Raw genomic sequence first — 14,796 nt, 5'->3', positions numbered from 1 at the left:
TCCCATTCTCTTCACTAAGCCTTCCCTGGCTATTCTAGTTCACAGTGATTTACAGCGAAATAAGGAGTCATTCTCTAATCATTTTATTCAACATCCTTTCAACAATTTTATTGAAAGCCTAGTATGTGCTGAATACTATTAAGGAGCTAGAGAAAAAGTTCCTACCTCCATGGAATCTATATTCTAGCAATTTATGGTACTGATTGTATATGGTACTATATCCATGAAATTCTGTCTGTGCTACTTTTGTTTCCATTGTTATAGTGTAATTTGTTATTTGAGAATGGAGGCTCTCTTACATCTTTTTCCATTATCACTAACACTGTCTTTAATGCAGTGTAAACCAAATGGTAAGTGTTTAAGGAATATTTGTATATGACTTATTCAGAGATTAAGTAATAATAATCTGCACCAAATTCTGAGAACTAACTGTATGCTATGTACTGATCTGCTTTATTTACGTGATACCATTTATGATTCCTGTAATATTTGAGATTTGTATTATTTCAATTTACTGATGAAAAAATTAAAATGGAAAGAAATCAAGCAACTTTCCTGAAGTCACATAGGTAGTAGATGATGGAAATATGGCTCAATTTTAAGAGTGTCTCATTCCAAAACTTTGCTTTTAGCCATATGCTATCTCCATGGCACATTTTAATTTATCTTTTTTGTAGTTATATAAACATCTTTATTTAAAGCCATCAACATACTACATGGTGTTTCAGTTTTGAAGTGGTAAGCATTTAACAGCCAAATATATGTATTGAAATTAACTGTTTGGAGACAATACTCCATGGATCTCTCACGATTTTGCATGTCTTAAGAGAACATGTACTTTGATCTAGGCTAACTTTCCAAGGATTATTACATAGCAAACAGCCTTGAAAAACAGAATTGTCCCTCTCTGGAGCAGATGGAAGATGTTTTCACTGTCTAGCTACAGGGGTGTCCAATCTTTTGGCTTCCCTGGGCTACATTGGAAAAAGAATTGTCTTGGGCCACACATAAAACACACTAACATTAAATGTTAGACCTAAAACCATAAAAACCCTAGAAGAAAACCTAGGCAATACCATTCAGGACATAGGCATGGGCAAGGACTTCATGTCTAAAACACCAAAAGCAATGGCAACAAAAGCCAAAATTGACAAATGGGATCTAATTAAACTAAAGAGCTTCGGCACAGCAAAAGAAACTACCATCAGAGTGAACAGGCAACCTACAAAATGGGAGAAAATTTTTGCAACCTACTCATCTGACAAAGGGCTAATATCCAGAATCTACAATGAACTCAAACAAATTTACAAGAAAAAAACAAACAACCCCATCAAAAAGTGGGCGAAGGACATGAACAGACACTTCTCAAAAGAAGACATTTATGCAGCCAAAAAACACATGAAAAAATGCTCATCATCACTGGCCATCAGAGAAATGCAAATCAAAACCACAATGAGTTACCATCTCACACCAGTCAGAATGGCGATCATTAAAAAGTCAGGAAACAACAGGTGCTGGAGAGGATGTGGAGAAATAGGAACAATTTCACACTGTTGGTAGGACTGTAAACTAGTTCAACCATGTGGAAGTCAGTGTGGCGATTCCTCAGGAATCTAGAACTAGAAATACCATTTGACCCAGCCATCCCATTACTGGGTATATACCCAAAGGATTATAAATCATGCTGCTGTAAAGACACATGCACATGTATGTTTACTGTGGCACTATTCACAATAGCAAAGACTTGGAACCAACCCAAATGTCCAACAATGATAGACTGGATTAAGAAAATGTGGCACATATACACCATGGAATACTACGCAGCCATAAAAAATGATGAGTTCATGTCCTTTGTAGGGACATGGATGAAGCTGGAAACCATCACTCTCAGCAAACTATCCCAAGGAGAAAAAACCAAACACCACATGTTCTCACTCACAGGTGGGAGCTGAACAATGAGAACACATGGACACAGGAAGGGGAACATCACACAATCACACACCAGGGCCTGTTGTGGGGTGGGGGGAGGGGGAAGGGATAGTATCAGGAGATATATCTAATGTTAAATGACGAGTTAATGGGTGCAGCACACCAACATGGCACATATATACATATGTAACAAACCTGCACGTTGTGTACATGTACCCTAAAACTTAAAGTATTAAAAAAAAAACTAACATTAATGATAGCTGATGAGCTAAAAAAAAAATCACAATAAATCTCATAGTGTTTTAAGAAAGTTAATGAATTTGTATTGAGACAGATTCAAAGCCGTCCTGGGCCACATGTGGCCTGTGGGCTGCAGGTTTGACAAACTTAGTCTAGTATAATAAAAGTAATGCCATTTTCCAGGACAAAAATGTCTGTCAGTGAGAGGTGAAGCCGGCTGGGCTTCTGAGTCGGGTGGGGACTTGGAGAACTTCTCTGTCTAGCTAAAGGATTGTAAACACACCAATCAGTGCTCTGTGTCCAGCTAAAGGTTTGTAAAGGCACCAATGAGCACTCTAAAAATGGACCAATCAGCACTCTGTAAAAAGGACCAATCAGCGCTCTCTAAAATGGACCAATCAGCAGGATGTGGGCAGGGCCAAATAAGGGAATAAAAGCTGGCCACCAAGCCAGTAGTGGCAACCTGTTAGGGTCCCCTTTCACACTGTGGAAGCTTTGTTCTTTCGTTATTCACAATAAATCTTGCTGCTGCTCACTCTTAGGGTCTGCACTACCTTTATGAGCTGTAACACTCGCCATGAAGGTCTGCAACTTCACTTCTGAAGCCAGCGAGACCACAGACCCACCTGAAGGAACAAACAACTCCGGATGCGCCACCTTTAAGAGCTGTAACACATTGCAAAGGTCTGCGGCTTCACTCCTGAAGTCAGTAAGACCACGAAGCCACCAGAAGGAAGAAACTCCAGACGCATCTGAACATCTGAAGGAACAAACTCTGGACACACCATCTTTAAGAACAGTAACACTCAACCACGTGGGTCGGAGGCTTCATTCTTGAAGTCAGGGAGACCAAGAACTCACCAGAAGGAACCAATTCTGGACACATCAGGTTTGTTTACAGTCCATTATAAAATAACAGGGTTTCTCAAGTTCTGGCTTCCTCAACTGGGACACAGAGCCCACTCGGTGTACAGCATTGACCTGACCTGCCTTCACATCATCCCCATGGGCACTAGGATGCAAGGGGCAACTGGAGAGATATGAAGTTCATGTTATTTGCTGGGCTCTGGGAATAGTCCTTTGTCTCTGATCTAAGAGCCTTCTGTCTTCTGCCAGCATCCACAAAATACCATGGTAGGCTAACTTGTTAGGTTGCTCTTCACAGTTTCTGACATTAACCCTTCTTTATGGTCTTTACTATTCTTTAAACTAGGCAATGTGCCTTCAATGTACATACTTCATATGACCAATCTCAGACAAAACTTGGAAATATTTGAACTTTTAACAATGCATTTTGGTAGCTTTTCTTTTTTTCTCTGTATTACTTTCCCCTTCCTTTTAGACTCTTATTATTTATCTGCTTTCTTTCACCTCACCCTGCATTTTAGCTGTAAAAATAATATCCCTTTTCACACCTTAGAGTAGAATGAATGTGTTATCTCTCTGAGGGATATTTACATTTTCAGTCTTAATCTGACATATAGAAAGAAGGCTTTGTCTCTAGGAACAGCAATTTAGAAATTTTTAATAAGGGAATAGGGAGAGACTTATTTGTAACAAGTAAGTGACTAGGGAGAGTCGTTCTCTGCGTTTCTGAAATTAAAACACTCAATGATTTTCAGCTCTGCCCACATGTCAGGAATGTTCTGGATGTACTCCAAGTTTCAATCTATACATATTACTTGGAAGTATATTAAAAGTGTCATTCTTTAGGGCAAGTAAGAATAGCTGTTGGAATAGAAACTTCTGAAATTCAGTAGCCTAGTAGATGTTTATTTCTTAGTTATGTTGAGACCTGTGTGTCCTTGGCATGTGGTATACATCATGGTTGCTCCAGGACCCAGATTTATAGGCTCCTTTCATTCAATTAGCAGAGGATGAGAGATTCCGCAGCAAAGGCACAGACTCTTCTTCACCGCTTCATCTGGGATTGACACAGATTCCTTCTACTCATGTTCTATTGGCTAAAACTCAGTCATGTGACCACATCTAAATGCAAGGGGGTCTAGCAAATATAGCTTTGCCATATGCCCAGGAGGGAAACAAAACAGGTTTTATTGAACATGTGGCAATCTCTGCTTCAGAATTGGTACCCTGTTGTTCCAGAATAGCTCAGTAATGTTGGATATTTCTGACAAATGCTTATGAATAATTCACTTTGACACAGTGGGGAAATGCCATATGCTGGGTATATTTGTGCTATCTTCAATTTGCGTCTGGGTTACTTTCCTTTTCATAGTAAAAATAATAACTTACATTTTTTCACATTACATTAAATAAAAATTGCATTTCACAAACAACTGGCATAGTATGACACCATTTTTGTGAAGTGGAGGTGTGTGCTTAAAGGAAGACTGGAAGGGAAGATATCACAATGTTGTTAGTGGTTATCCCTTTGAAAAGAGAAACCATTTCTACCCTGTTCTATTTTCATACAATTTCTGAAAAGTTTTAGAATAAGCAAATACAATTTTCCATCAGAAAAATAAAATATTTTCATTTAAAACAATAGGGACCAACTTACATACGGAGTGGCTGATAGCATCAGGTACTTCCACCTGCTTTATTTCATTGATTGTGTTGTTTGGGTAAGGCAGGTATCAGTATTACTATGCCCATTTTGCAGATGACGGAACTGAAATTCAGATGGAGCAAGTGACTTGCTCAAGAACACACAGCCAGAAGAGGCTGATCTGGGACTCAGTCCTTTCCAAGCATAAGTTTTTCCCATAATATCAAGTTGGTTTCAGGAGCCCAGAAGTGAAGTATTGTGGTGTTAAATGTTCTTTCTCTAGTTTTCAAAGAAGAAAAACTTGCACAGCAACTTTTTCTGGGAGATTCTTCTAGAGCTCCTACTAGAAAGAGATACAAGAAGTTTCACTGTGACTTGTCCAACAAAATGGCATAGAACCACGAAGAGAGAAGTGCTGAGTGCTTTTAGGGGTTTTTAGTGGAGGTCTTTTTGATGGACAAATTATAGTGTAGAATCGCCTTTATCACCTCTATCCACTTTGATAGAGCTTGCTTTCTGGGCTCTGGTAGCTGTCTTTACATGACAAGGATTGGAAAAGTTGCCAGACCTTCTTGTCTGTGCCACATCTGATCCAGATGGCTCTACACACTCCAATTTTAGTTTCTATTTTGCTTTCACCTCTGACGGTGGAAAAGAACAGCCTGTAACATTGCTGCGGAGAAATTTCTGGAGAAAACTCTGCACGGTGACTGCACAGGAAAGGCAAGGTTACCACCGTTCTGGTGTGCTAATTAGCCTCTTATAATTGTCACAGTCATCAGCCTCTCCAGCCTGCCAGGTTGTGGGCAGTGGTCTATTTCAGGGGCATCTGGCAGGAACCAGAGAGAATGATTGGCGTACGGATGATTAAAGGTGTGCCACCAGACTGGACGTCTCTTTAAGAAAGCTTACATATGCTGAAGGGCAGAAAGAAAAAAAGAAGGTACGCCTTCCTAAGAATCAGTGTTTGGAGTGGGTTGGTAACTCGTCATTATGTTACTCAAATGGCATGTCCAATTTGAAGCTAGTGGCAGGTAAGGTTAGCGTCAAATAAGCAAATCCAGAGACATTATAGCTTTTATTTCAGCTGCCCCAAGCTCCCGTCCCCTCCCACTCTCTCTCCCTTTAACCTTCTCTTAACACTGCTGCATTATGGCAAGGGGTGGCAGAGAGCATGTTATTTTGGGTGGCAGACTAATTTTGGTCGTCAGAGAGCTTTCTCTAGTGTTTTATCAGAGCTTCCCGAAAGCCTGGACCTAATGTACAAAAACAAGGAAATCAGAGCTTGATTTTCATCTGCTCAAAGGCTGTGGCAAAGCAGACAGTGGAAAGGGTAAATTCTCTGGGTCAAAGCATAAGCATCCGAGTGTCACCAAGAGCACATGGAGCATATGGCATCGTCTCCAGAGAAGACATAGTATTTCTGACTCTATTCCTGAAACTTAGCTTAAAAATTGAGGATACTCCAGAAAATGTGTTTCCTAGCTAACTAATTGTCAAAAACTTAAAGGAGTCACAATAGAAATTATTCTCCAAAGAAGAAATGAAGTGAAACAGATACATGCATGCCTAGAATGTTTCAGATCCTGTCACACTAGCTACTTGAAGTGTTATATAATTTGTTTCCTTAATAATTTGCAAATCTGTCATTAAGTCAGAATGCAAGGGAGAGAGGAGCTCTGACGCTAGTTTCTAGAAGAGAAATTTAAGGCAGATGTGGGCACCAGATGTTGTGGAACAGTGGCAGTTTTCATGCATATTTATGTGAGACTAGTACGTTTTATTATTATAAAACCTCTGTTTACAGAATGAGAGTGATGTGAGCTGCTTGAAGGAAAGAGCACAAGTTGGAGAGAGTTTTAAGTGGTGCTGAGGTAGGATGGAACTTGGATATAAGAAAATGGTAATGAAACATTGCCTTAATCCTTATTTTGAAGAGGCGCAAAGAAGATCGTAGGTTTCTTAGTCCAGTTCCACCTCCTGGCAGTTAGTTGGGGTTTGTAATGAGAGAGTTCCCTGGGAGGAATAACAGCTGTCAATGAGACACAGCACAGGGAGGGCATAGGCTGAGTCCTCAGACGACTCCGGGGGCAGTGTTCCCACAGCTGAGAGTACACAAATCTTAGTCCTTAAGAGATGTGCCTTTTGGAGTTTCTGCCTGACCACCCTCAAAAACATCTCTAGATACACCAGTGAGAGGTATGTAAAGCACCTGGACAGGAATCCCTAGACCCAGAAAGTCTGGTTCCATGACTTATGAGCTGCGTGAGTAGAGGTTATACTGTCTAAGTCTCATCTCTTTGTACAACACAATGTGTACAGTCTAGTGTCAGGGCTCAGAACGCTGTATCCCAAAGTATGTCACATTGGCCTGAGCAGAAGATCACTAACCTCCTCTGCCTTTCTGCATGGGGACATGAAAAGAATTCTCCCTCCCTTCTCCCCTGAGGATCCTCTTGTGACACATGCCCTGCCCTATACCCAGAGGAAAGGAATGAAGACATAAAGACACACAGAAAAATTGAACAAACAGAAATTGCAAAGTTCCTCCCAGTTTGTTTATACCATACCAACTTCGTCCAATCACACTTCTACATACATCACTGTCCAGTGTTCATCAAACTGAAGCATAAAACTGCAGTTTTCCATGGGTGTTTCGGACTTCATTTCTGACAGCTCCTACGTCACGTAGAACTTTGGTTAATCAATTTGTTGCCTTTCTTTCTTGTTAATCTCTCTTTTATTACAGGGATGACAGCCATCCATCTTGCAATGGCTGAGGAAAATATATTACTTTTTCTCCCCTACAACATAAAGTAATATCTCTCCCACTTTTATAACACCCAAATTTTATCTATATACATTAAATGAAATTTTCTACTACAGGAAATATTCGGTAACATTAAAAATGCAGAGAAATTCCAAATTCTTGGCTTTTCCTCAGAAACATAGTGCAGGCCTACATCTGTGAATACAACTGCCATTTGGGTAATGCTTATATTTTACAAAGTGATCGAGTTAGAAGGTTAGAGAAATGAATTTCTAACACATGCTTCCTAAAAAAGCACATTTGGATAACAAAATGCTCAGGATTGCCTTAGCATCTGGCTGATCTTATCATATAAAGGCCTGTGTGGTCTTATATGAGAGTGGGAAATCTTACTTAGGAAGACTTAGTTTTACTCTTTCTGTTGATTCTCATGTAGCTGTCAATACTGGAGACCATTCCTAGGTACTGACACATACAGGGAGCTTAGCTTAGGGAGCATTTGTTTACCTGCTAGTATCTTCTTACTATCTAGTGAGATCAAGGTCTTATATTGGGAGAGATGGAGAGGGAAAATAAACTTGTGGAACTTTTCTGGGTGTCAGCAGGATGTCCTATAGAGCGGTGGTCCCCAACCTTCTTGGCACCATGGACTGGTTTCATGGAAGACAATTTTTCCACAGATGGGCTGGCAGGGGGGATGGTTTCAGAATTATTCAAGAGTATTACATTTATCATTAGCTTCTCATAAGGAGTGTGCAACCTAGATCCCTCACACACGCAGTTCACAATAGAGTTCATGCTCCTACGTGAATCTAACACTGTTGCTGATCTGACAGGAGGCATAGCTTACCTCCTGCTGTGTAGTCAAGTCCTAACAGGCCACGGACCCCTCCCAGGGTGGGCCACCCCTGCTGTAGAGAAGTAAAGCAGCATGAAGATCTTGGGGATTTTAGGGCAAAGGATGATAGGAAATGTGGAAGGAATGGTGGAAAAAGATTTGTGGTTTGATATAAAAAATTAAATATCCCTATTTTCCAGAAGCCTTGAACTGCAGTGATTCATAAAATTAAGCCCCTAGTTTTAGTCTATTTCTCAAATATTTAGTGTTTGTAATCATGCCTTAAGGTTTCTGAGATGGTTTTGTTTCTTTTACTTCTAATTGACTTCATAAATGTTTAAGTACAACTTTTGTCCTCCTAACTTTTGCATTTAGGTAATTCATTAACACCCATCTGCCCTTGACTCATTTGTCATGACACCTTCACCTTTGTGATAACTTTCTCCTCAAATTGCCACCTCTTTTGTTTGTTTCATCAGAAGTAGTATACTATGTGGATGGATCCCTGAATGTTAACTATGGGCACATCTCATTTTATTGCACTTCACAGAGACCATTTTTTTTTTTTTTTTTTAACCAATTTAAGTTTGTGGCAACCCTACTTAGAGCAAGTCTGTCAGCACTATTTTTTTTCCAGCAGTATGTGTTCTGTTTCTGTATCTGTATCACATTTTGGTAATTCTCACAATGTTTCAAATTTTTCATTATTATTTTATCTGTTACGGTGAGCTGTGATCATGTGATCAGTGATCTTTGATGTTATTATTATCATTGTTTTGAGGTGTGACAAGTCACACCCATATAAGACAGTGAACTTAATTGAAAATGCTATGTGTATTCTGACTTCTCCAATGACCAGGCATTTCCCCACTTCGCTCCCTTCTCTTGGGCCTTTCTATTCCTGGAGATACAACAATATTGAAATTAGGTCAATGAATACCCCTACGGTGGATTTTGAGTGTTGGAGTAGAAGAAGAGTTGCATGTCTCTCACTTTAAAGCAAAAGCCAGAAATAATTAAGCATATTGAGGGAAGCATGTTAAAAATTGAGATAGGCCAAAAGTTAGGTTTCTGGCCCCAGACAGTCTTGGGGCCACATTGAGAATGTAAAGGAAAAGTTCATGGAGGAAATGAAAAGTGCTACTCCAGGGAACACAAGAATGATAAGAAAATAGAACAGCCTTATTGCTGCTGTGGAGAAAGTCTGAGTCGTCTGGATCAAAGCAGCTTCAACATTCTCTTAAGCCAAAGACTAATCCAGACAAAGTCCTTCACTCTCTTCAATTATATGAAAGCTGAGAGAGGTAAGGAAGCTGCAGAAGAAGAGTTTGAAGCTAGTAGAGCTTGGTTTATGAGGTTTAAGGAAAGGATCCACCTCCATAACATGAAAGCACAAGTGAAGCAGAAACTGTGGATGGAGAAACTGTAGCCAGTTATTCAAATCTAGCTGAGACCATTAATGAAGGTGACTACTCTAAACAGCAGATTTTCAGTGTAGACAAAACAGCCTCGTTTTGGAAAAAGATGCCCTCTAGACCTTTCATAGCTAGAAAGGAGAAGTCAATACCTGGCTTCAAAGCGTCAGAGGACAGGCTGACTCTCTTGTTAGGTCCTACTACAGCTGGCGACTTTAACTACTACAGCTTATTTGCCATTTGGAAAATACTAAGGCCCTTTAGAATTTCGCTACATTGTCTCTGCCTGTGCTTTATCAGTGGAACTGAAAAGCCTGGATGACAGCATATCTGCTTATACCATGATTAACTGAATATTTTAATCCTACTGTTGAGACCCACTGCTCAGAAAAAAAGATTTATTCTCAAAATATTACTGATCATTGAAATACAGCTGGTCATTCCAGAGCTCTGATGGAGCAATACAGGAGATGAATGTTGTTTTAATGCCTGCTGACACAACATACATTCTGCAGCTCATGAATCAAGGAGTAATTTTTACTTTCAAATATTACTGTTGAAAAAACACATTGTTTAAGGCTATTGTGGCTATAGATAGTAATTTCTCTGGTGGATCTGAGAGAAGCAAATTAAAAACCTTCTGGAAAGGATTCACCATCCTAGATGTCATTAAGGACATTTGTGATTTATGGAAGGAGGTAAAAATCTCAACATGAGCAGAAATTTGGAAGAAGTTGATTCCAGTCCTCATGGATGACTTTGAAGGGCTGAAGACTTCCTTCAGTAGTCACTACAGATATGGTGGAAATAGCAAGAGAACTAGAATTAGGAGTGGAAGCTGAAGATGTGACTGAATTGTTGCAAACTAATGATCAAACTTGAATGGATGAGGACTTGCTTCTTATGGATGAGCAAAGAAAAATGGTTTCTTGAGATGGGATCTACTTCTGGTGAAGATGCTGTGAACATTGTTGATGACAACAAAGGATTTAGACTAGTACATACTTGGTTGATAAAACGTAGTGGCAGGGTTTGAGAAGATTGAATTCAATTTTGAAATAAGTTCTACTGTTGATAAAATGCTATCAAATAATATCACATACTACAGATAAATCTTTCATGAAAGGAAGAATCGATGGATGCAGCATACTTCATTGTTGTCTATTTTTAAAAATTGCCAGCCTGGGCAACATATCAAGACCTCATCTTTATTCCCCACAAAATTAAAAATAAGTTAGCCTGGCATGGTGATGTGTACCTACTTGGGAGGCTAAGGTGGGAGGATGACTTGAAGCCAGGAGTTTAAGGCTGCAGTGAGCCATGATCACACCACTGCACTCCAACCTAGGCAACAGAGTGAGACCCTGCCTAAAAACACAAAAAAAGAAATTGCCACAGCCACTCCAGCTTTCAGCAACCACCACCCTGATCAGTCAGCAGCCATCCACATCTAGACAAGACCCTCTACCTGCAAAAAGATTATGACTCTCTAAGGGCTCAGATGATTGTTAGCATCTTTTTTTTTTTTTAGCATTAAGGTATGTACATTGTCTTTTTACACAATGTAATTGCATACTTAATTGACTGTAGTATACTGTAAATACAACTTTTATACACACTGGGAAGCCAAAAAAATGTGTGTGACTCATTTTTTTGTGACATTTGCTTTATTGCTGTGGTCTGAACTTTTGCTTTATTGCTTTGGAACTGAACCCACAATATCTTAGAAGTATGCTGGTGTTTCCATTACTTGGGAACAGTTTTAGCACTTTAAGATGTATAGAGCTTTTCAGATTGAGAATCAATGTCAATTTCTTTGACCATTCCAGTCAGCTTCCCTTACTTTCCCACTTTACTTGGTTTCTCAGTTCAAGGTAATTTACTGTAAGTTTTTTTATTTAATTTTTAATTAATTAATTATTTTAAAATTAATTCAACAGTTTTTGGGGAACAGATGGTGTTTGGTTACATGCATAAGTTATTTAGTAGTAATTTCTGAGATTTTGGTGCACCCTTCACACTGCACTCAATGTCTAGTATTTTATCCCTCATCCCCCTTCTACCCTTCCCCAAGAGTCCCCAAAGTCTATTATATCATTCTTATGCTTTTGTGTCCTCATAGTTTAGCTCTCACTTATAAATGAGAGTGTACAATGTTTGATGTTTCATTCCTGAGTTACTTCACTTAGAATAAGGGTCTCAAACTCTATTCACATTACTGTGAATGTCATTATTTTATTCCTTTTTACAGCTGAGTAGTATTCATATATATATTTATATATCTCACATTTTCTTTATCCACTCGTTGGTTGATGAGCATTTAGGCTGGTTCCACGTTTTTGCAATTGTGAATTGTGCTGCTATAGACGTGTGTGCAGTGTCTTTTTCATACAATGATTTCTTTTCCTCTGGGTAGGTACCCAGTAGTGGGATTGCTGGATCAAATGGTAGTTTTACTTTCAGTCCTTTAAGAAATCTCCAAACCATTCTCCATAGTGATTGTACTAGTTTGCATTCCCACCAGCATTGCAAAAGTGTTCCCTTTTCATCACATCCATGCCAACATCTATTATGTTTTGATGTTTTAAAAAATTATGGCCATTCTTGCAGGAGTAAGGTGGTATCTCATTGTGGTTTTAATTTGCATTACTCTGATAATTAGTGCTGCTGAGCATTTTTTCATATATTCATTGACCTTTTGTATATCTTCTTTTGAGAATTGTCTATTCATGTTCTTTGCTCACTTTTTGATGTGATTATTTTTTTTTCTTGCTGATTTGTTTGAGTTCTTTGTGGATTCTGGATATTAGTCCTTTGTTGGATACATAGTTTGTGAATATTAACGCTCATTCTGTGGGTTGCCTATTTACTCTGCTGATTTTTTTTTTTTCTGCACAGAAGATTTTTAGTTTAATTAGGTCCCATCTATTTATTTTTTGTTGTTGTTGCATTTGCTTTTGGGTTCTTGATCATGAGCTCTTTACCTAAGCCAATGTCTAGGAGGGTTTTTACGATGTTATCTTTTAGAATTTTTATGGTTTCAGGTCTTGGATTTTAGTCTTTGGTCCATCTTGAGTTGATTTTTGCATAAGGTGACAGATGAGGATCCATCTTCATTCTTCTACATGTAGTTTGCCAATCATCCCAGCACCATTTGTTGAATAGGGTGTCCTTTCCCCACTTTATGTTTTTGTTTGCTTTGTTGAAGATCTGATGGCTGTAAGTATTTGGCTTTATTTCTGGGTTCTCTATCCTGTTACATTGGTATACATGCCTATTTTTATACCAGTACCATGCTGTTTTGGTAACTATAATCTTGTACTATAGTTTGAAGTCAGGTAATGTGATGCCCCCAGGTTTGTTCTTTTTGCATAGTCTTGCTTTGGCTATGTGGGCTCTTTTTTGGTTCCATATGAATTTTAGGATTTTTTTTTCTAGTTCTACAAAGAATGATGATGGTATTTTGATGGGAATTGTGCTGAGTTTGTAGACCGCTTTTGGCAGTATGGTCATTTTCGCAATATTGATTCTACCCATTCATGAGCGTGGGATGTGTTTCCATTTGTTTGTAATTTCTATGATTTCTTTCAGCAGTGTTTTGTAGTTTTTCTTGTAGCGAACTTTCTTCTCAGTAGTTAGTTATATTCTTAAGGATTTTATTTTATTTTTTTGCAGCTGTTGTAAAAGGGATTTCGTTTTTGATTTGTTTCTCACCTTGGTCATTGTTTGTGTATAGCAGTGCTACTGATTTGCTTATACTGATTTTGTATCCTGAAGCTTTACTAAATGCATTTATCCAACCTAGGAGCTTTTTGGAGAAGTCTTTAGGATTTTCTAGGTATATGAACATATGAGTTTAAAGTAACAGTTCGACTGCCTCTTTACTGATTTGGAAGCACTTTATTTCTTTCTCTTATCTGATTGCTCTGGCTAGGACTACTATAAATTTTGCAGTTCCTGGTAAAATACTTCACCAATTGCTCCTGTACATCTCATCTTTAAGGCTTTATTTGCTTTCTCTGTTTTAATTCAACCCTCCTAATGGGGTTCTCTTTGCAAATGCACAACATATCTCTTTTGTAAGGGTATCAGACAGTGCTGGTAGTGGAAGCTTCCCAAACAGACTCTTTCTGCTACCTGGATGCTAAATCAGACCCACATTCCCATGACTCGGTCATTTATGAGGCACGTAATTCTAGGCTATGTAATGATAGCTAGCACGTATTTAGTGTTCATCTGTCTGTCACTATTCTCAGTATTTTACATGAATTCAAGCTAGATGACAACCATATGAAGTAGATATCATTATAGTTTAAGTGGCAAGGTGCAGTGGCTCACACTTGTAATGCCAGCACTTTGGAAGACCTAGATGGGAGTATTGCTTTAGGCCAGGAGTTCAAGACCACCCAAGGCAACATAGTAAGGCTTCATCTCTACAAAAAACATTAAAAAATTAGCCAGGTGTGTTGGTGTGCCTGTACTCCCAGCTACCTGGGTGTCTGAGGAGAGAAGATCACTTGAGCCTGGGAAGTCAAGGCTACAGTGAGCCATGATAGTGCCACTGGAAGTCCAGGCAAAACCTGCTGTCAAGAAAAAAGTGTAGGAGACTTAAGTAACTTCCCCCAAATCACAGAAGTAGTAGGTAGATGAATTGGGATATGAATGCATATAGTCTAGCTCTAACATAAAAATTTTTAACTGTTTCATTTCTGTTTAATACATTTTAATCTGCTTTTGTTTTTTGTCCCCAAAGTAATTCAGTTTGCATATCATGTTTATCTGGGTTTCTATACACATATATTTTCTGCTACATCCTGAAAGCTTACTTTGACTTACTACAGAAACAGTACAGAAATATAATGTTTCACAAATAGCAGAAGCTAGATAGGGAAAATATCAAGAAATGAAACAAAAGACCTACTTACTTAATGGGAGACTTGCAATCTTAACAGATAAACTAGACCTATATAAAAAGGAGATAGTCTCGATCTTAACCACTTATTAAAGAAAACTAGGAAAACAGATGAAAATTTCATGTTACCAGATGAGACAGGGTGACAAAGTAACATACAAATCTAAAAAGGAAGATATT

At 38.7% G+C, this 14,796-nt stretch overlaps 1 annotated feature.

Moving 5' to 3' along the window:
• Positions 2,521–2,733: a silencer, noted in NCBI's record as "fragment chr18:4753197-4753409 (GRCh37/hg19 assembly coordinates)". NCBI's record gives its function as "represses an EF-1alpha promoter that drives an FKBP-Casp9 reporter gene in an ReSE screen in HepG2 liver carcinoma cells {active_cell/tissue: HepG2}" and the evidence as "EXISTENCE:reporter gene assay evidence [ECO:0000049][PMID:32094911]".

Source organism: Homo sapiens, chromosome 18 (assembly GCF_000001405.40).
Source record: "Homo sapiens chromosome 18, GRCh38.p14 Primary Assembly".
Lineage (NCBI taxonomy): Eukaryota > Metazoa > Chordata > Mammalia > Primates > Hominidae > Homo > Homo sapiens.
The sequence above is the reverse complement of the archived record's forward strand: the minus strand, read 5'-3'. Positions and strand labels throughout refer to the sequence as shown.